General features: G+C 57.8%; 1 protein-coding gene across 3 annotated transcripts in view, besides 2 other annotated features; it reads left to right on the top strand.

Annotated features, from left to right (window-relative positions):
• RRBP1 (ribosome binding protein 1) overlaps nt 1-21,004 on the top strand; it is a 68,564-nt gene that overhangs the window by 43,141 nt on the left and 4,419 nt on the right. For all 3 annotated transcript variants that reach the window (NM_004587.3, NM_001042576.2, NM_001365613.2), the window contains 15 exons: nt 2,373-2,525; nt 3,438-3,556; nt 5,489-5,642; nt 9,141-9,279; nt 11,420-11,598; nt 11,720-11,754; nt 13,500-13,590; nt 14,434-14,526; nt 17,155-17,247; nt 17,329-17,412; nt 17,555-17,644; nt 18,295-18,387; nt 18,732-18,803; nt 19,374-19,469; nt 20,423-20,506. In NM_004587.3, the coding sequence (NP_004578.3) occupies nt 2,373-2,525; nt 3,438-3,556; nt 5,489-5,642; nt 9,141-9,279; nt 11,420-11,598; nt 11,720-11,754; nt 13,500-13,590; nt 14,434-14,526; nt 17,155-17,247; nt 17,329-17,412; nt 17,555-17,644; nt 18,295-18,387; nt 18,732-18,803; nt 19,374-19,469; nt 20,423-20,506 (1,575 nt within the window). The remainder of the gene's footprint in view (nt 1-2,372; nt 2,526-3,437; nt 3,557-5,488; nt 5,643-9,140; nt 9,280-11,419; nt 11,599-11,719; nt 11,755-13,499; nt 13,591-14,433; nt 14,527-17,154; nt 17,248-17,328; nt 17,413-17,554; nt 17,645-18,294; nt 18,388-18,731; nt 18,804-19,373; nt 19,470-20,422; nt 20,507-21,004) is intronic.
• Nucleotides 1,487-2,360: an enhancer, noted in NCBI's record as "H3K27ac-H3K4me1 hESC enhancer chr20:17617387-17618260 (GRCh37/hg19 assembly coordinates)". NCBI's record gives its function as "activates a minimal SCP1, AML or CMV promoter by ChIP-STARR-seq in primed H9 embryonic stem cells {active_cell/tissue: H9 hESC(primed)}" and the evidence as "EXISTENCE:reporter gene assay evidence [ECO:0000049][PMID:30033119]".
• Nucleotides 2,361-3,234: an enhancer, noted in NCBI's record as "H3K27ac-H3K4me1 hESC enhancer chr20:17616513-17617386 (GRCh37/hg19 assembly coordinates)". NCBI's record gives its function as "activates a minimal SCP1, AML or CMV promoter by ChIP-STARR-seq in primed H9 embryonic stem cells {active_cell/tissue: H9 hESC(primed)}" and the evidence as "EXISTENCE:reporter gene assay evidence [ECO:0000049][PMID:30033119]".

Here is a 21,004-nt window from a genome sequence, read left to right as displayed (position 1 = left end):
GCACCAGAACCTCTGTCCTGAAGCCATGCCTCGGACTGGCCCCGTCCTGGGCTTGGTCCCGTGTTCTGGCTTTAGGGCCCAGAAGGAGATGGGGCTGTGAAACAGAAGGAGCCCCAAGGCCCTCTGGGACCCTCAGAGGGTTTACCTGGGGATGGGGTCACGGGAGGAGTTCCTGTTACCAGGCCTTCTTGGTGGAGGTTGCTTCCTTGCTTGGCTGGGAAAGCAGGTTGGAGGGCTCTCTACAGTCCTCAAAGCTTACACCATGAGGGGCCCCACTACTCCTAGGGAACAGCGCCTGGAAGAAGTAGGGACAGAGAGTCACTTCTGAGCCAATGCTAGTGATGGTGCCAAGCCTTGTCTTCTTGTGCGCCGGAACCCCCCCACCACCATCAGGAATGCTTTTCAAGGAAATAAATCTGACTCTTGCAACTGAATTAAGAATTTGACAAGCAGAAGGAACCCTGGGTCTCTGAGCTCTTTGAAGAAAAAGAAACCATAGAGAGCTAAACAGCTGCACTGAGGACAAGTGACTTTTCTCTGCTCTTTAAAAAGCCTAGAGGCAAAAGAGGGGGAAGATCCCATTGAATCCTGGCGGCCTTGGGACGCTGACCCCCAGGAGATAGGGGTCTGCAGACCCTGAGCGGGGTGGACCTTGGAACTGCACGAGGCCTGCCCAGGGCTGGGAAGGGTGTCTCCAGGTGGCAGAGGAGGGCTGAGGATGACCCAAGTGTGGCTTCCCAACCAGCCATCCATGTGGCTGTGGGAATGCCTGGTCTCCATGAGCTTTGGTTTCTTCGCAAGGCTGGACCATCTACTTGGAAGGGCCGTTGTGTCGGAAACTCAGCAAAGAGAGCGGCCTCCTCTCTGCTGGTGTTGGGAGGCTTCCAGCCATCTCTACCACACCTGTCTGCCAGCAGTGGGCCGGTGGGGCCACGTGTGTTAGAGGAGGAAGTGCGGAGGGGTCCTGGAATCACCGCTAAGCTGTCCTCCCTTTCCCCAGGGGCTTCCCAGCCCACACAGAAGGGCAGGCGTCCTCATTCCTCCCCTTTCTGGGAACCCCTTGGTCTTGTACAGTCCTAGGTTTGGGCCCCACCCCTGCCTCTTAGAGCTGCTCCCCAGCCTTGGACAAGTGTGTCCTCTCCAAGGCTCTGTGACCTCAGCTTGGATGGGGATTGTAATCCTCGTCTTCCAGAGAAAATTAAATGGGACAGTGCTGGGGCGCAGTGTCAGCTCATCCCGCCCCCCACTTCTGTAGCTAATCAGTGAAGCAGACCTGCAGGTTCCTGTGGGCCTCTCACCCCGGGCAGAGCCAAAAAGATGATTGTCTTTGAAAAGTGAGGCCAAGGGTCCCAGGAGGTCCCAGAGAGTACCAGGAGCACGGAACAGCACCAGCACCCAGTGGCTCCTCCTCAGGGTTCTTTCCCATCTCAGGCAAGAGGGACACTCTGGCCTTTGGGACAGGCCTCCCTATAGTCCTGGTCTGGGGAGGGGACGGACTTCCTCACTCCTGGCCCACTGCCCATGGAGCAGCCTTGACGCTGGTGGGACGCTTGTGCCCTGGTCACTCAGGCCTGCTGTGTTTATGATATGTATTCACATCACATCAGTGCTGGTCTGTCCAGGCCTGCTAGACAGGGAACACCCCCACCCCAGGGGCTCATTGTGTCAACCTTTCCTTGAGTTGTCACCCTGCCTCCCTATGGTTTCTGGTTGAGGCCATCCCTCTGGGATGACACAGACCATGGCCAGCCTTCCCATCCTGCTCTGTCCCTGCTGGAGACGCCGGACCCCCCAGACTCGGCATCCATGTTCACCTGTGGGTATCTGGCACTGATCGGAGCCGATGTCCCCCTGGGTGGAGGACAGAGCGACCGCCTGCAGAGATGCATGCCCTACCCCCAGCCACGGCGGAACTGGCAGCTGGCCCCACCCCCACCCTAGCCATCAGGGCTTGGTGCCTTTCAGTCCTGATGAAGGCACTTGAGTAGAAGTAGGTGTCCCAGGGGCCCTGGATGTTGGTGACTGAGTCAAGCTGGGGTGTTGTCATCACAGCAGGGCCGAGCCAGTGCCCTGGAGAGCCAGGGACAGCACCGTGTGTCTCTGCTGTTCCTGCCGCATCTGCCACCTCCACTGTGGCCAAGGCCTGACATTGAGCCCACAACCGGCCAGGGCCAGCAGGGTTTCCAGGGATCCCTTGTTGTCTGTCGTCGTTCCCACTGCAGCTGGCTTGAGTCTAGCTGAGAACCCGGCCAGCAGGAGGGGTCTGTGCTCTGCTCTCCAGCCTCCCAGCTCGGGTGATGCTCTTGCTCCCTTCTGATAGGCTCCTGCCCTGCAAGGCTTACCAGCCCCTCTCTCTGCTACTTTCCCCCCAGGAGATGGCAGCAGAAAAGGCCAAAGCAGCAGCCGGGGAGGCCAAAGTGAAAAAGCAGCTGGTGGCCCGGGAGCAGGAGATCACGGCTGTGCAGGCACGCATGCAGGCCAGCTACCGGGAGCACGTGAAGGAGGTGCAGCAGCTGCAGGGCAAGGTGGGTGTAGTGGCTGGCGGGGGCATGGGAAGGGACAGGACCCAGTCCAGGTCCAGGACGGAGGGAGCCAGAGAGGCCCAAAGGGTGAGGCATGAGGAGGGGGTTGAGGATGCCCACAGGGGTCTGTAAGGTCTGGTCAGGTTTAGGAGTCCAGGGGCTGTTGCATTTGGCTGGACAGGGTCTGGCAGCCCAAGTGTGTGTATAATGTTAAAAGCCAGGGAGGTATGAAATACATTTTAAAGAACACTTTTCAAAAGAGCCTAGTCTCAGATGGCCAGCCCTGTTTCCCTGCCTCCTGGGTGTCTGTGAAGTTCTCACCCTTCATGTGAACCTAGAGAAACGCAGGCTCTATCTTCTTTCCACATGGTGGGGAGGATCCCATAATACCAAGGCCTGAAAATCACACAGCTCCAGCGGCCAGCACTGGGCGGCTGCCCAGACTGGCCCTGTAGTCAAAGTCTGAAGCCTGCACCCTGCTCATAGTGGGCTGCGACCTCCTCCCTGCTGCATGTCTCAGGACGTGCTGGAGGTCAGAGGGCAGGAATCGAGGCTTCCTCAGGGGGGTTAGAGGCGGTGCATGTGCTTTGTCTTAGAACAGTCAACCATGTGACCTTGGAGGCAGATGTTCATGGGGTGTGTCAGAGACCCTGGGCTGAGTGTTCAGCCTTGGGCAGGCCATGAGCAGTGAGGAGGGAGAGAGGTGTCGCTGGGTGTGGGAGTCATGCTTGGCCGCTTAAGCTTCGCAATTTTCAGGCCTCTTGTTTTATGGGATCCTCTTAACTTCCACGTGGAAAAGGTGGAGGCTTTTGGGGGTTTTCTTTTGTGGGCTGTGTCTTCACTAACCACTGCTCAGAAGTCAGTTCTGTGTGTGAGGCCGAGCTGCCTCTGATGCCCTTGCCCGTGACTTTCCAGATCCGGACTCTTCAGGAGCAGCTGGAGAATGGCCCCAACACGCAGCTGGCCCGCCTGCAGCAGGAGAACTCCATCCTGCGGGATGCCTTGAACCAGGCCACGAGCCAGGTGGAGAGCAAGTAAGCTGAGCTTTCCTGCCTCAGCACCTCCCCAAGGGCCCTGGAGCGAGGAAGGCTTCACGAGGCTGCGGCCAGGGCAGCTGGCACAAGAGCCAGGCATGGGCCCTACATGTGTGCGGAGCCGTCCTGACCTTCCATCTCCCGTCTGGGTTCTGGGCCCCTGAGTCTTCTAACAGGTGGCCCAGCGTCCCTGTGGTGGCTGGTGGTGGGCCTCGACTGTGCCCTGGAGCACAGCCTCCTGCTCTGCAACACCCTTGCTTCAGATGCACTGGTACTAGGGAGGGTTTCCAGCACCCACCTGCCTAGCGGGGTTCTCATCTCAGTGTTGTCTCTGAGTTGCTGAAGCACCGCAGCCCACAGCAAGTGGGCCGGAGGGTGCACTTCCCCTCCGGAGTTGAGTACAGCCGCACTTCTGCTTCCCTGATTTAAGCATTACACCCTCAGTGGCAGCCCTCGAGAAACCCACTGCAGTGTCTTTAGTTGTACATTTCTTTGCTTTCTCTGGTCCGAAGTGTCCTGCAGGGACTTGGCAGAGCTCTGTGTTATCCCGAAAGCCTCTGCTCTCACCAAGGCAGGGGCTGACCACAGCAGAGCACGCTGGCACCCTTAGTCCTTGTCTGGGAGTCGGGTCAGGGGAAGTCCAGTGTGGGAGCTGGACAGGGAGGGGAGCTGGGCCAAGTATCTGTTTTGACTATGGCTCCCTCTGACGTGGAGTGAGATCCAGCAGCTGCCTTCCCCTCTGCCTGTCCCCTCTGGGTCCCCTTCCTGAGCCATCGGCTGGTTGGAGGTTTGTGGCTGCTGTTTCCCCAAAAGCCACAGCAGAAGGCATATGTGGGGACTGAGAAATTCTCTGGCGTCTCCCCACATAGGATCTGCTGTGGCCTCCTTAATGGGTAAGGCTCTAAAGCCAGGAGACTTGTCACGCTGAGGCAGTGGCCCTGCCAGTCCAGAAGCTCTGGCTGGTGGGTGGCTCTCAGCAGCGGGATGTGTTTTCCCAGGCCCACTTCAGAGCTCCCAGTCCATCTTGAGGGCACCACACGACCTTCCGCCTCCCTCCTAGGTCACTTGAACCTTGGCCTTGTGAAGCATGGAGCTGATGGACCTACAGTGGGCTTTGGTGTGGCCTCCCCGGTACAGACGAGGCAGCCCCCAAGTCAGAGAGGTGGGACCCACCACCCCGCAGGCAGCAGAGCAAATCTAGCCTCAGCCCGGTTTCCCAGCTCCGCCTGGCCTGGTGCTGCGTCCCAGGGTTTGGGACAGTCTCGTCTGGTGGTGTCCCTTGGTTGGACAGTCAGTCTTTGGCCTTGAGGCAGCGTCTGCTAGTGAGGGAGTGGCATCCTGATCACACGCCTTACGCTGGAAAGGCAGGCCTCCAGCTGCCCCCTTTTCCTTTAAGTCTCCTTCTGTAACTCCGGAACATTCCTCCCAGCTCCTGAGACCCAGCTTTTGAAGTGCAGTCCTGAAGGGTCTGTTTTGTAAGCACCTCAGGCTCTGGCTTTGGGCAGCCTCCCCAGCCTGGCCCTGGTCCAGCTGGCCAGTGAGGGGGCGCGTGGACTCCGTGGGCTGCTGCCCACAGGCCTACAGGGCGTCAAGGCGGGTGGATCTTCATCTCAAGGCTGGTTTGCACCCAGAACTGTGTTGCCGTTTTCTGTGAATTTCTGGCTGTTTCTGGGAGGGGCTCCCCTGGGATGCTTTAGTGCACATTTGCTCTATGCTGTCTCTGGTTCATGCACTATATAGGTAAAACAATGTCTTCAACAAAACACATGCCCAACCCCACACAGCTGATAATGGAAAAGTGGCTTTGGTAATGGCTTCAAGACTTGGGCAACTGCTTACTTACAAGAGAGCTGGAGTCCTGGAGGGAGGGCTTGGACCACCGATCCCATCACCCTTTTCTTTCCATTAGTCGGGCTGGTGACTGTCTTGCAGGCAGAACGCAGAGCTGGCCAAGCTTCGGCAGGAGCTCAGCAAGGTCAGCAAAGAGCTGGTGGAGAAGTCAGAGGCTGTGCGGCAAGATGAGCAGCAGCGGAAAGCTCTGGAAGCCAAGGCAGCTGCCTTCGAGAAGCAGGTCCTGCAGCTGCAGGTGAGTCGGGGCAGTGGCCGCCTCAGTGCCCTGTTCACTGCCCAGCAAGCCTGTCTGCATAGCGGGGATGGGCCCAGGCTGGCCGTGCCACACTGGGCACCCGTTTCTAGCCTTGACTGGGACAGATGATGGTGTCTGCAGGGCTGGGGCTCAAACTCTTCACCTTAGTCTCCTTGGTAGTAGTTACAGCTGGCATCAAGCGGGAGCTTTCTGTATGCTAAGCACTGTTCTGAGCATTTTCAAGCGTTAACTCAGCCACTTTTCCTTGTAACCCTATGAGGTAGGCACTGGTAGTGTCTGCATTTTTACCCATAAGGGAGTTTGAGGTGCAGAGAAGTTCAGCAACTACCTCAAGTTCACCCAGCCAGGACATGGCAGAAGCAGAATTTGAACCCCAAGTCTCGCTCTGGAGCCGTGTTTTTCCTCCCATACTTGCCCCCACTGTGGTACTGCAGCTCTGGAGCAGCCAGCTGAGCCCACAGGCTGTGGACGCAGCCTCTGGCTTCAAGGCCAGTGGGGTTTCTTCTTTCTCAGCTTCTGGGTGTGGCCTTGAGGCCTTTTTTCCCAGGAGGGTGCCTGTTCTCCTTCAGAGGGAGGAAGATTGTCCCCCTGTCCCCAGGGGGACACGGGCAGCATGCAGCATGTTTTCCCAGCCCAGAGGCCTTGCCTGATGAATTCCCATCCGTCTGCTGGCCTGTGTTGGGCAGGTGGACCCCACATAGGGCTGTTACCCAGGGCATGAGGCACCTTGATGTCATGCCCACTTGGGTTTAACTTTTCTGGATAATGAGACCCCAGGGGCTTAGGGCCCTTTTTCTGTCCCATCATTGAAACCAGGCTGTAGTGCGTGGGGGCATTAGTGCTGCCTCTTGGAACTAGAACAGACACGAAATTTTAAGAGTGATGTTTGAGCGTGTGCAAGGACTAAAAGAGAACATGGACAAAGAAACAGTTTGAATTGGGGTGGAATTGAGATGGATAATTTGGTGTTTTCTGATGTTCATGTGAAGCAGACCCACTCAGAAGAGGGAGTTGAGAAGCTGTGGGGTGTGCCTGCCCATGATTGTGTTTTAAAGGCTCCTGGACGGTTGTGGTCCATCTGGGCCTGGAACTGGGCTTGGTCTGTCACCATCACGTGTCATTCCTACGAAGGATCTAGCCAGGGCCCCCAGGCTCCCAGTATCTCCTGTCCTCTCCAGACTCAGGGTCCTTGTCCACAGCCTGGGGCTGGGCAGAGGATTCCCTGCTCTCCAGTCTGACACCAAAGATTCTGTGCCTGTCAAGTCTGTGATTGACAGTGAGGCCTTTGGCGCCAGCTGTCGGGTTCAGGTCCTGGCTCTGCCACTTCCTAGCAAGTTATTTCAGAGCCTCAGTTTTCCCATCTGTACTATGGACAGGATAGTAGGAGCTGTCCTGCAGGGTGACTGTGGGAGTTAACCATGCTATTACACCCAGAGTGCCTAGGACTAGATCAGTGCTTTTCAGAAAAAGAGCTCAATGTGAACTCTACAAAATTTTATTCAAGATATCTCCAAGTCAGACTGGCGGTTGAGGTTGTAGAAAATGTCTCTTTTTTGCTGAGGTGAAAATGGGGCTCTTTCCATATTGTGACTGTCCTGCCTTCACCTGAGGCCCCTTCACTGCCAGCCAGCTCTGCAGGAATGAGGGCGGGGGTGGCCTGTGCTGACCTTCGGTCCTGGAGCACTGGCATCAGGGAGGTGCCCTGCCCCTCATTGCCTGTCTCTCCCCGGACGGCCTCTTGGGGCCTGCTTGGAAGAAAGTACCCATTGAAGGTGCTGATGACATCCTTCTAGAAGAACTGAATCTTAGAAATCCAGGAGGGCCTTATGAAAGTCCCCAGCTGGGCCCACCCAGCCACGGGACCCGCTTCTGAAATTGTTCAGTGTGATTGGCTGTGCTAACAACATTCTCTTCAAGGCAAAGACAGTTGTCACCTGAGGTCTTAAGATGGAGGCCCGTGGTTTCCATCAAAGATTTTAAGTTTGGGGTTCCTGAAGGTGGGTGGGTTTTTGTTTGCTTGTTGCTGGAATCAGAGTTCTAATCAATGTTAGTAACAAACGGAAGAACATGTGTGGTCAGTCTCCCTGCAGTCTGAGCTGGAGTCCCTTTTCTTAAAGAAAAAAAGCAGCAGCAGCTGGTGTGTTTTCTTCCAGTCGTGTAATGACCCTGCCCTATGTATCCTGGTCGAGGCAGAGGTGTGAGGGTGTTGGAGCCGGTGGGTGCAAGGCAGGCTCCTGCCCGGGACACCTGGCAGAGGAGAAGCAGGTGTGCTTTCTGGGAGCAGCTTGCAGTCACTCCTTTCTTTCATTTCCTCCCTAGGAGTTGGAACTGAGTAATCCCCTGCTACGTTCTAATGCAGAAAGCACTGCCCATCCTAAAGCTGCCCCCAGTTTTCACTGCACAGTACACGTGAACCACGGCCTAGTGGCCACCTCCTTGGTGATGGCTTCACTGGCTCCAGCCACGCCTCTGCCCGGATGGTGCTCATCTGAGCAGTTACCCCAGCTCCAGGTTGTGCAGCCATTGCCCTAAAAGAAAATGAAAATGGATGTGGATGGGATCAGCTTGGTAAAGGCATTGACGAGGGATAACTCACAGCCTCTTATTCAAACAGCAGTCATCTGTTGATGCCCCTCTTACCTGGTTCTGCCCCCAGACAAGCTTGTTAATGAATAATCAGTGGTCGGGCTTTTTGGAGAACTGAGTTCTCCAAAGGGCTGGTTAAATGGAGGCCTTGGCCAGCACTTCTGCCCCAGTGTGTGGGAATCCTTTACAGGTGGATGAGGGTGTCCTGTGGAGCACCGACTGGGACTGCCAGAGCCTGCCTGACACTGAGCCGGGAACTGGGCAAACACTGAAGCTCTGTGTGGCTCCTAAACAAGGGTGTGGTGGGCCTGTCTGTCCTGAGTGAGGAAATGTCTCTGAGATACTTTTGAAGCATGTGAAATTGCCATTTTTGTAGGTAAAAATGGTCAAACACTGACAATTTCACGTGGTTCAACCTAATATTAAGAACTAAGAGCACTGCCCTATAGCGTGATCGCAGTGGTGCACCGTGCGTGTGTGTGTGTAACATGTGGAGCTGCAGGTGGGAGACCCACCAAGCTGTCCGCCCCTGGGAGAGGAATCGAGGACTGGATTGGGAAATGTCGCTAGTTTACTCTGAATCAGTATCTTTGGACTCTTGCAGTAACCATGTCTTCATGAATCACTTGAGAATGTAAAAATAGGGACTCAGAAAAGAACTGGGAAGTGAGTGTGGGTCCCTGGCAGCTGCCTTCTCCCCATGAAAGGGTTCTGGCCGAAGTGAAGCCTGTGCGGGTTCTAGAGCCTCGAGGGATGCATTTCCTTCCCACATGGACCAGAGACTGCACGGGGCTTTGGTGGGGTAAAGAGCTCTGTCCGCCTCCACCGCAGAGCCGCTGAGGGCCTGGTCCTTCCACGTCTTCACTGCCCCACTCCCCTGCCCGTCCCCAGGCGTCCCACAGGGAGAGTGAGGAGGCCCTGCAGAAGCGCCTGGACGAGGTCAGCCGGGAGCTGTGCCACACGCAGAGCAGCCACGCCAGCCTCCGGGCGGATGCCGAGAAGGCCCAGGAGCAACAGCAGCAGATGGCCGGTAAGGGCGGCGGCAGTGGGGCCGGGGGTTCAGTGCAGGGTGCTGGGTCTGCATGCCGGCCCAGCCCCACTGCCAGTGCCAGAACTCAGTGGGTTAGGCCTGTTGGGTGAGGGCAGCACGGATCCCTTGACTGCCCCTCAGAAAGTCAAAGAGCAGGGGATTATGCCCAGTCAGGGGCTGGCGGGGGGCGCAGTCAGCCTATAGGCGCAGTCCAGAGGTGGGGGGATGGAGCTGTGAGGATGGGACCTACAGGGGCTAGAAGTGGGGGGCAAGGCCTGTGAGGGCCTGGTGCATGGGAGCAGGGCATATGGGGGTGGAAGGCACTGCTTCCCTCCCAAGCCTGGGTCCGCAGTGGCTGTGGATGAACCAGGGAGATCCTGAGGCGTCTCAGCTAAATGTGTGTTCTGGGCCTTTCTACTCTCCCAGCTCAGTCAGCCCAGAAGGCCAGGCAGGATTTACAAGCCTGTGGTTCCCTTGCTGCAGTCGATCATGGAAAGGGTGACAGGGATGGAGGGCCGAGAGCCCCTGGAGAAAGGGAGCTGAAGGTGCCAGTGAGAGGCCCGTGGCCCTTGGCTCACTGGCGCTTCCCGAGCCCCTCCCCAGGCCAAGCACTGCCGTGGGTGCCGGGCTGGGCTGGACTGGGGGTTACACGACAGAGTCACCTGCAAGGACAGGATTGCACAGCAGGGCCCTCTACACAGGGACTGTGTTCAGGGCAGGGTTGGCAACTGTTTCTGTGAGGGATGGATGGTGAATGCTTCTGGCCAGTCTCTGTCACAACTGCTCAGCTCTGCCACAGTGGGCAAAAGTGCCCGTTAACACCGGGTGAACTGTTTCTGTCGGGGATGGATGGTGAATGCTTCTGGCCAGTCTCTGTCACAACTGTTCAGCTCTGCCACAGTGGGCAAAAGTGCCCATTAACACCGAGTGAACAGAGGGGCCTGGCTGTGTTCAAAGAAAGCTTCATTGATATCACTTGGAAAAATGGAGGTTGGGAGGCACGGCCCCAGCTTCCCGGCCCCTGCTCCAGAGGGCTGGGCATGGCTTTAGATTGCGTGGTCCTGGAGACTCTCTGAGGCAGGAGGGGATGCATGGCAGAGGCCAGCACAGGGCCCGGAGGTGGGAATGAACTGACTTGGCCTATGTGAGAAATGGGCTAACAAGTGTGGCTGGAAGGAGAAGGCTGGTGGCGGGGCAGGGCCAGGTCACCCTCCCTCTGAGGAGCTTGGGCACCGTGGAAGGTGTGACAGAAGTGCTTGGGGCAGGAGATGAAGTCGTCTCATGTGCGCTTCTGGACACTGACACCAGGTGGAGAGCAGACCAGAGGGGCACGAGTGGCCCATGGAGACCAGGGATGAGGCCTTGCAGTTGCTGAGGCCCAAGGCAACAGGGCAGGGCCCAGGTGGCCGCAGAGGTGCTAGTGAAGAGGGCAACTTGACAGATGGCGGGTGTGGGCTCGTAGGCTTCGGCAGTGGGCGAGGGAGGAAGATGAGGAGTCCTGGGAGGTCGGGATGTTGGGTTTGCGTTGTCTAACTAGAGCTTCATTTAGAAGAGGCAGATGGCAGAGCCTGGGGTTGGGGAGAGTGCAGCCTCAGAGGCACGAAGATGACACTTAGACCCATGGGACTGTCTGAGGTGACCTGAGGAGGAGGACACCTCAAGGGGAGAAAGGGGCCCAGGGCAGAAGAGTCACCCCCTGGCCTTTCTCGACTGTGAAGAGGTCTTGGGGGTTGAGGGGGACCCAGCCAGGGAGGTGGGGGAGGTGTGGCAGTGGGGTCCACCTAGCCACTTTCTAAGGAACTTCTGGTCTCAGTAAGAAAAAGAGTCTTCTAGAAGATGAATCTTTAAAAGCCTCAGCTGGAGTCCGTTTCCACTCTCTATCATTTTCTCATGAGTGTCCTGAGAGCATTGCATTCTACCCTGACGGTTCTCAGAAGTGATGCCAGAGTGGCACTTTCTTCAACCGCTAACAAGAGGCCCCAGTGGTCAGTAGTATGTCTTAAGAGCCCCAGACACACAGAGGAGGCAGGAGGAAGCCCTCGGTGCCCCACATGTGCTAAGAGGGCAGCAGTGAGGGCATCCTCCACACCCCCTGGGGTTTGCAGTCTCTTAACTTCTCGTTTCCCTTCCTCTGCACCAGAGCTGCACAGCAAGTTACAGTCCTCCGAGGCGGAGGTGCGCAGCAAATGCGAGGAGCTGAGTGGCCTCCACGGGCAGCTCCAGGAGGCCAGGGCGGAGAACTCCCAGCTCACAGAGAGAATCCGTTCCATTGAGGCCCTGCTGGAGGCGGGCCAGGCGCGGGATGCCCAGGACGTCCAGGTCAGCCTTCTGCCTGGGGCCACGGGGAGGAAAGGGAACTCCATCTAGCAGGTGGGTGGACTAGCCCCGCTGCGTGAGATGAGTCTCCTGGAGACCAAGGAGCTTTTGTCTCTCATTCCAGGCCAGCCAGGCGGAGGCTGACCAGCAGCAGACTCGGTAAGCTGGGGAAGCAGCCTGCCTGCTCACTTGAGCCTCAGCCCGGGGGACCAAAGACCCTTGGGGGGCCAGGGTTTTCAGGAGGGTGCTCAGGTCCTCTGCAGAAGAGCCCCTTTCAGAGGCTCCCTTCCCTCCCCCATCCTCCGGTGATTTAGAGGACGGGACAGGCCTGGGCGGGAAAGAAGGCGGCCTTGCAGAGAGCTTCGTGATCACATCGTTCCAGAGTGGCCTCAGCCAGGGTGGGAGCACCCCCTGCCACCTGCCGTCCGTCCATCCACCTGTCCATCTCTCTGTGGGAAGGGACTGACTGGTCAGAGGTTCTGTGTGTACAAGCAAGGGATTTTAGGGGCTGAGGTCAGGAACTCTAACAGGAAAAATGGTTGCACAACCCAGAATGGCGAACCCAGGCTTGCTGCTGGAGCACAGGTTTGAGGCGTCGGGGCAGAGCTGGCAGCGTCTCAGCGTTGTTTTCCTCCATCTGTGAGGTGACTTCACTGCTGGCCAGACCTTGTTTTCCCTCCGTGTCAGCAGCACCAGCGCCAGGCCATGTTCGGGGAGTGTTTATTTGCTGTTGCTAAGGCCGGCCAACACCTGGGTGGGGTGGCTCGAGTCAGGGGCCGGAGTCCTTGTGACCATCACTTCTGGGGCTCGCCTCCTGTAGCACATGCCCACAGTCTGGGGAGGCAGGTCCTGGCCGCCGTGGCTAGGGGTCCATGCAGCAGTAGGTGGGGGAGGCATGGAGGGTGTCCTGCATTCCCTCGCACACGGTCAGATGTGTCCTAGGCCATCAGTTCACAAAGTTCCCTTGTCCTGACCCTCGTCACCAAAGAAGCACCTCCCTGTGTGCCTCTCAGCAGAGGCAGCTCCCCAGGCCACAGCCCATGTTCCCTGGCATTTGGGCTCTGCGGCTTGGGGACTGGGAAAGGAAGCCAGCTGCCCTGAGGGCCCAGAATGACCCACAACCAAACCTTGTCCACCTTCCTTTCCCAAAAAGCATGGGCAAACTTTGTTTCTCCTGGTGGTGTTTGTTGGGGTAGAGAGGTTGTTGTTTTGCTCTTGTGTTTTAAGATCAGATTCTTGGGCCACACAGCATATTACTAGGATAATGAACTCATGTTGTAGTTAGGATTAATCTGAATTTTCTTGCATCATGTAGATGTGTCTGGCAGAAATTGGTGCTTTTATTTCCTTCTCAAACAGTTGATCTGAAAGTTATGTGTAGGCTGGGCCATCCTGCTCTGGAGTAGAGAGGAGCGATTCAGCCCCAGATATTCTAGAATTCGGGCAGTGGCTGCCAAGGGTGTGATTGTCAGTGTGTCCTTGCCACTGGCCTGCTGACACCTCTTCCTCGGAGTCTCATTCTTTTGGGGACGCTCTTGGGGTGATTTGCCGGCGGAGGCTGTCACATGATGCAGGGAAAAGCTGTGAGGGCCCCAGGAGAGCTCTGAGGGCAGGGTCACGATTCCACCTCTCCTGGAAACCCAGCTCTCCGGTGTCACCAACTGGGACTCTGGTGACAGCTCTGGGGTCAGTGCTCTGGATGGCGGGGGGAGGGGAGGGTGTTGGGGGCTGCTCAGGCTTCCCTGGGAGCTCACGCTGGGTGAGGTGGGGGCAGCCAGAAGGGACCGTCCCTGGCCAGATGGTTCAGCCTCGAAGGTACTCCTCCCTGGATGGGGCCTCAGGTGGGATCTGTAGGGGCTGTAGCCCCTTGGAGCCTAGGCGGTGACCTCGTTGTGTCCCTTCAGCCTCAAGGAGCTGGAGTCCCAGGTGTCGGGTCTGGAGAAGGAGGCCATCGAGCTCAGGGAGGCCGTCGAGCAGCAGAAAGTGAAGAACAATGTGAGTGCGGCAGGCACAGGCGGGGACGGACGGGCCAGGGAAGCACAGGTGGGGCCGGGAAAGGTTCTGCTATGTGGCACCCGCCCTGGACTCGGGGGAGGGCTGAGCTTGTGTTTCTACACCCCATTGTGCTGTGGGGGTCCAGGGTGTGGGGGGTGCTTCTACTCACCCCTGAGTTCCGCCAAAGACCCAGGGCTGACTGCCTGTGGATCAGCCTGCGCCACTCGCTCAAGCGTGGAGTCATCCCTGGGGTGGGGACAGTGTGCTGTTGGCCTGGCCTGAGTCACGTGGTTGCCCTAAGTGGGGATCCTGGTCCCAGGAGAAGGGGATGTAGAAGCTCGGCAGGTGGCATGCCTGCTGTCCTGGTGTGGCCTCGGCCACACCCTCCTGCCCCCTTCTCACAGAGCCGGGCTTGCTGGCTGGCCCTGTTGCTCCCTGCAGAGGCTGCAGCTTCCCAAGGCAGGCCCTGGCCTTGGCCTCCCTGTGCCAGGCTCTGCCAGAGCTGGCCCAAGGGATCAGCACTAACCATTTGGTAGCAGGAACCTCTTCCCTTTGAGGACACAGGCTGGCCCTCCCTCCTCCCTTTGGCTAGTGGTGTCTTTATCGAAAGGGCGCCACCTCTTCACCCTGTGCCATGCTGCCCGCCTCTGGCTACGGCACCCAGGCCTTGTGTTCAGGCGCCATGGTCATGGGCCAAGGAAGGGGCATTTTGTCCCGTGGCAGGTCCTCTGTGGGCCAGGGTGGCATCAAGGAGGGTCTCTGGGCCCTGTCCTGTCTGACACCAGCTTAGGCAGCCCGTGCTGCCAGTGCAGGCTGCTGACCTTTCACCTGTGTCCCCTCCAGGACCTCCGGGAGAAGAACTGGAAGGCCATGGAGGCACTGGCCACGGCCGAGCAGGCCTGCAAGGAGAAGCTGCTCTCCCTGACCCAGGCCAAGGTCAGAGCCCGACCACACTCACACCCCCACCATGGAAAGTGCACTAGGATGCACAAATGCACTAAGACGTACAGATGCACTAGGACACCAGATGCTCTAGGACGCACAGATGCACTAGGACAGACATACAGAGGCACTAGGAACGCATAGAAGCACTAGGACACACAGATGCACTAGTACGCACAGACGCACTAGGACACACAGAGGCACTAGGACAGACACAGAGGCACTAGGACGTACAGACGCACTAGGACACACAGACGCACAGGTGCACTAGGACGCACACAGTGCACTAAGTGCGCACAGAGTGGCCTTGGCCTCAGAGCTCCTGAGTCCACGCCAGACCCCGGCTCTACATCCACCTCCCCCTCCCACCTCCTTCCCTGCCGTCCTTCCCTTCTTCACTTGCTCCTTTCCAAGAGAGGGATGGGGGTGCCCCCTTGATGGGCTTCTCCGTGCTGGTCTCTCTGGCTGAGGGTACAGAGCTGCTGGGGTGGGACTGGAGGCAGTGAGCCCGAGGCTGCACTCTTTATGAGCTTTTTTGGTGTTATTTCTGTTGTGTGTCCTTTTGTCGGGTAATCCTGCTGCTTGGGCCTCTGAAGTCATGGCCCAGGGGGCTCTGTGAGGAGACTTTTTTTTTTTTTGAGACGGTGTCTTGCTCTGTCGCCCAGGCTGGAGTGCAGTGGCGTGATCTCAGGTCACTCCAACCCCTGCCTCCCGGGTTCAAGCAATTCTCCTGCCTCACCCTCTCAAGTAGCTGGGATTACAGGCGTGCACCACCACGCCCGGCTAAGTTTTGCATGTTTTGTACAGATGGGGTTTTGCCATGTTGGCTTGGTTGGTCTCCAACTCCTGACCTCAAGTGATCTGCCTGCCTTGGCCTCCCAAAGTGTTGGGATTACAGGGGTGAACCACCACGCCCAGTCCCATGAGGAGTCTTTAAGTCACAGAGGGGAGGACATTGTTTGCAGCGAGCACTCGGGGAACAGAGGCCGCGTTGGCCCTGCGCTCCATGCTGTCCAGGTGGGGCGTGTGCAGGTGTCTCCCAGTGTCTGAGCCCACGGGTTGCTTTTGGGGTGCTGGGCTGTCCAGGAGCCAGTGAGGAGGCTCTGGCCAGGGGACATGGCCAGCAGCAGCTGCAACTAAAGGCCCTGCCCACACTTTGAGGTCACACACGTTTTCCTACCTCATGAAAGGGCCTCCACTCCCAGCCTCTCTCACAGGAATATCTGCCCCAATGGCAGGAGCTTTGCGGTGATTCCCAGGAAGCCTGAGGGTTGTATCAGATGAGGACAACTAGCTAGGGCAGGAGGTGAAGGATGGCCTCAGGCCACCCTGTGAGAGCTATAGTTAGACTCCTAGAATCTTGGCCTTGTAGCCCCCAGTGACCTCAGAGACTGTCTGGCTACCATGTGGTAAATGAAGCTGTGACCAGAGATGTCACCTGACTTGATTGTGGTCACACATCCAGATAGAAGGTGGCCTCTGGGTCTCCAGCTTGCCTTGACTCACAACTAGAGGCCTCAGTGGTGGTCGTGAGGTCAAGGGTCCACATGGGTCACGGGCCCTACCTGTGGATAACTTGGCCAGCCAGGAAGGGCCCGCTTCTCAGGTGTGCGTCAGGCCAGAGGGCGCTGCGCTCAGGCTGGGTGTCCGGTGGTCAGCATCCTTCATGCACATTCCAGGACTCTGCTTGGGGGAGTTAACACTCCATCAGCTCTGATCCAGGTGGAGTTCCTGGGGCCTCCCTGGGTCTTAGGCCAGGCCTGTCCAGGTGGTGGCAGGGCCAGACACAGGCTGTTACCCCAGCAGCCTTCCCCTCGGGGTGTGGGAGAGCCCAGCTCTCTCCCGGGGGACACTGTGGTCCTAGGCTTTGCTTCATGATTCCCTTGGGCCCCCTTTGTTTCCTTTTGTTTCCTTATCTTTGTTGTGCTTTGAATGGGGGCCGCTGGCTCTTCGTTGAGGACTGAGGGGGTGTCCGACCCAGCATGGCACAGGGTGCAAAGTCCCTGTCTCCTCTGAGTGGGCTTCTCCCTCTGCAGAGGGGGAATGCTGATCCACCCTCTCCAGGGTGGCTGGAGATGAGCCTCTCTGGGTTGCCCCTTCCTGGCTGCCACTAGCCCCTAACCGTGGTGCCGCCAGCAGACGCACTGCTTCCCTGCCTTCACCCCCATCCCCATCACAGCTCTAGATTCCAAAACATTGGGGGCCATGAGTGTCCTCCCATCCCTTCTTCCTGCCCTGGCTCTCACACATCAACTGCGGACCCCCCAAATTCCCCCACACATGCACACATGCCCAGAGAGCTCGGGAAGTGAGAGCTGGTGGAGACTGTCCCTGCTGGGAGATGTCCCGGGAGCTGGCACCTGCCATCTTGGCCTGACCCAGTATGCTCCTTTCATCAGAGCTTAGTCTGTTTGAAATGGACCAGATACAGGCTGGGTAACCCCTCTGCTTACAGTCAGCCCCATGGAGCCTCATCTTCTCCTTTGATTCTTGTCGCTTCCCTGAAGAGCTGAGGATGTGCCCTTTCTGGGGCAGAGACCCGGGCATATCAGTAAAGACCTGGGGAGGTGCCCCACACCTCCACAGCTGAACACCTTCCGCTCTTCCCCACCCACCCCCCAGGAGGAATCGGAGAAGCAGCTCTGTCTGATTGAGGCGCAGACCATGGAGGCCCTGCTGGCTCTGCTCCCAGAACTCTCTGTCTTGGCACAACAGGTAGGAGGGGAGGGTGGTTCCCGGGGACCTCACAGTTCTCAGGGAATGTCCCCGGGTCTCACCGAATGTGTTTCATTGCAGAATTACACCGAGTGGCTGCAGGATCTCAAAGAGAAAGGCCCCACGCTGCTGAAGCACCCGCCAGCTCCCGCGGAGCCCTCCTCGGTAAGTGTGGCTGCCTGGCAAGGCTCCTCTGTTGGGCTCCCCTGTCCCCAGGAAGAGGGGCTGCCCCAAGTCATTTCAACGGGAAGCCAAGAGAAGAACCTTTGTGTGTGGCTAACTAAACACCTGTTCTTCCCTCTCTCAGGACCTGGCCTCCAAGTTGAGGGAGGCCGAGGAGACGCAGAGCACACTGCAGGCCGAGTGTGACCAGTACCGCAGCATCCTGGCGGAGACGGTGAGCATTGGGAACCTGTCAGCTGGGCATCCCTGGGAGGCTGCAGGGAAGGAGAGCTTCGGGGCCTATGGGGCAGGAGGTGGCCTGGTGTTTTGGAAAAGCCCACTGGCCTTGTGACTCTGGGCCCCGTTCTTCGGCTGCATGGTAAATGGATGGCACCCTCTGAGGTCGTCATTGTTTCTAAGCTGAAGAGAAGGCCAAGTTGAAGGTTCGGGGCCGGTCTCTAAGCTGGGGAAGGGGAAGGACGGGGTAAGCAGCTGGTGACTGCCAGGTTGAACCCCGTTTGTGACTAAGAGCAATGCCAGGTCTAGCCCTGCCACTCTCTGGCCAGCCCATCCTGTGCTCCTCGTCCTGGGCCATTGACACACTTGGTGCTGGTGGCAAACCCCGGCAGTAACAAGCATCCTAGTGGTCCTGTGCAGGTCACAGACCTCATTTCCTTGCCTGGCACTGCAGCCACACTGGCCCACTGGCCAGAGGACCTCCCTCCCAGGACAGTGGTTGCCTTCCCTCCCCACCTAACGCTGGCGCTCATGAAGTCAGCAGGCGGAGCACGGCAGGTCACCAGGGCTGCAGGGACAGGAAGATGCGGTTGTGTGGTGCGGGTCTCGGGAGGGAGAGGGCCCTGCCTCACCTCGGTTTCCCCCCAGGAGGGCATGCTCAGAGACCTGCAGAAGAGCGTGGAGGAGGAGGAGCAGGTGTGGAGGGCCAAGGTGGGCGCCGCAGAGGAGGAGCTCCAGAAGGTATATGCAGCCCTGCCTGCCTCCCGGCGCCGTGGAGCACATGAAGCCCAGGGGAGAGTTGACAGGATTGTCTCTGTCACCTGTGAGACTCGTGTGTCTCGGTGGGGCTTTTCCACGACACCCTATGAAGCACAGTTGCGGGATGACAGCTCAGTCCGTCCTCCAGGAGGCCCCCGCCTAGGAAGACACTGCCAGATGGCGCCAGGGTGACCGTCCCAGCTGGGCGGAGTGGGCACCCCCGGGGCTTCCTAAGTTGGGTCAGTCCCGCTCGGGTCCTAGCATGGCCTCGGAAGGAGACACCCCCAGGTGCTCGTGTCTGACGGAGCCTTCCCCTTGCTTTGTAGTCCCGGGTCACAGTGAAGCATCTCGAAGAGATTGTAGAGAAGCTAAAAGGAGAACTTGAAAGTTCGGACCAGGTATGTGCTCTGCTCAGAGAACTCTTTCTCTTGTCCCGGGAGCCTCTTTGAAAGTGACGTTAATGCAGAGGACACTTCACTGATTTCTTCCTCATGGACCGTGTGCCTTAAGAGAGGCATTCTCTCTCAAGCCAAGGGATCTTGTCCATCCTGTTTTTCCTTAATGAGAGACATTGACTACCTCAGAGGACCCTGAGACCCAGCCACGGGCCCTGTGCAGACCTGCCCAGCCCTGGTGAACAGGGCTTCTGCCACGGCCTTCACAGTCAAGGTGGCCCCACTGCCCCCTTCAGACGCCACAGGGAGCCCTGGAGAAGGTACCCTTGGTACCTGCTTTTGCAAGTAAATCTAAGAGCATGTCAGTCCCCAGGAGTGCCCGGGTGCAGCCTGCCACTTTCCGTAAGGGGTTCTCTTGCCGCGGACTAGTTTCTCGTTTGCTTGGTAGCTGGTGGGCCTCAGGGATCTCCCGAGAGGCCTCACCTATCCCAGGGCCAGCCTGCTCCCTGAGGTGAGTGCCCTTTGAGCAGAGGCTGCTGGCGCATGCGTGTGCGTGTCTGTGCATCTGTCCAGGTGAGGGAGCACACGTCGCATTTGGAGGCAGAGCTGGAAAAGCACATGGCGGCCGCCAGCGCCGAGTGCCAGAACTACGCCAAGGAGGTGGCAGGGGTGAGTCTGCCCCCCAAGGAGTGCAGCCCCTGCCCAGCAGATCTGCGGTCCTCCCTGAGCTGCTTCTCCTCAGCCCTGTGGGAGCAGCTCTCGGTGACATAAGCCTTGAAGTCCGAGTCCTCAGGCGTTTGCCCGAAGCCTCACAGGCCCCTCGTTGGGCTGTCAGGCCTGAGGTGTCTCTCAGGGCAGGTTTCAAAAAGGCAGCCTCCCAGCCAGGACAGGGGCAGAGCCAGGCAGCCCTGCCCCGAGGGAGGCGTTTGACGTTCTAGGTTATCCCTCCGCAAGGGGATTCTCTGCCTGGCTTGCTGATGTCATATCTGGTGGGGAGTGGATTTAGATCTGACACTTTTTCTGCTCTTCAGAAGCAGAAGCACAAGCCCAGTATCCCAATTCTGGTTTAATCTCAAACTTTTGGGCCAGGCACAGCGGCTCATGCCTGTAATCCCAGCACTTTGAAAGGCTGAGGTGGATTGCTCGAGGCCAGAAATTTGAGACCGGCCTGGGCAACATAGCAAGACCGCATCTCTACCAAAAAAAAAAAAAAAAGCCAGGCACACTGGTGGGCACCTCCGTTCCCAGCTGCTTAGGAGGCTGATGCAGGAGGATTGCCTGAGCCCAAGAGTTCAAGACCAGCGTGGATGACAGATTGAGACCATCTCTGAAAAAAAAAATCATCTCCAACTTTTGGCCCTTTTTTGCCAGAGATAATCAGTAAACATTTGTGAAGGCCTGAAAGAGGTACGCAGTGAACACCATTCTTCCTAAGTCCTCAAAAAAGAAATCGTAGCTGTAGGAAGCCTGGCGAGCCCTGTGCCGGCCCGATGCTGTGACCCTCCTCAGGGTTTTGGTTAAGTGGATGTGTTAGGTTTTATGTTTCGGCGCTAACTCACGGGGACTGGTTTTCTCCTTTTCTCTCCTTTTTTCCCATCACCCGCCTCTGTTTTCTCCCCAAGCTGAGGCAACTTCTCCTAGAATCTCAATCTCAGCTCGATGCCGCCAAGAGCGAAGCCCAGAAACAGAGCGATGAGCTTGCCCTGGTAGGTGGCCTCCATGTCCCCATGCCAGGAGTGTGACCTGGGGCGTTGCGTGTGTGAGATGCATTTGCCAGTCATGCGTTTGTGTCCACTCAAAGATAAAGCCTAGGGAAGGGACAGTGTCACCCGTTGAGCAGCATGGGGCCGGCTTCTGGGGGCCTTCCTGCACATTTGCCCAGAACTCTGAGCTGGGCCTGTGGCTGTTGGGACCAGGGTGCTCCCACTCCATCTCCCGTCCCCTGGCTACCTGGTCCCCTGTTCAAGGTAGTGAGAGCTCTGGGCGTCTGCATTCCCTGTGAGCCCATTGTAGTCACCTGGGGGCGTCAGGGATATTGCAGTCCCTGGCATCACAAGACCAGGAAGCCTGGGGGTTCCTCCTGGCCTGGCCACCCATCGCCCTGGGGCTCTCAGCAAGTCCCGTGCCTTCTGTGGGTTTTCTCACCTCAGTGACAGCTCAGATCAATTCAGTCAAAGCCACAGGCATGCAGGGAAGACCTGCTC

This window comes from Homo sapiens, chromosome 20, assembly GCF_000001405.40.
Source record: "Homo sapiens chromosome 20, GRCh38.p14 Primary Assembly".
Taxonomy (NCBI): domain Eukaryota; kingdom Metazoa; phylum Chordata; class Mammalia; order Primates; family Hominidae; genus Homo; species Homo sapiens.
The sequence above is the reverse complement of the archived record's forward strand: the minus strand, read 5'-3'. Positions and strand labels throughout refer to the sequence as shown.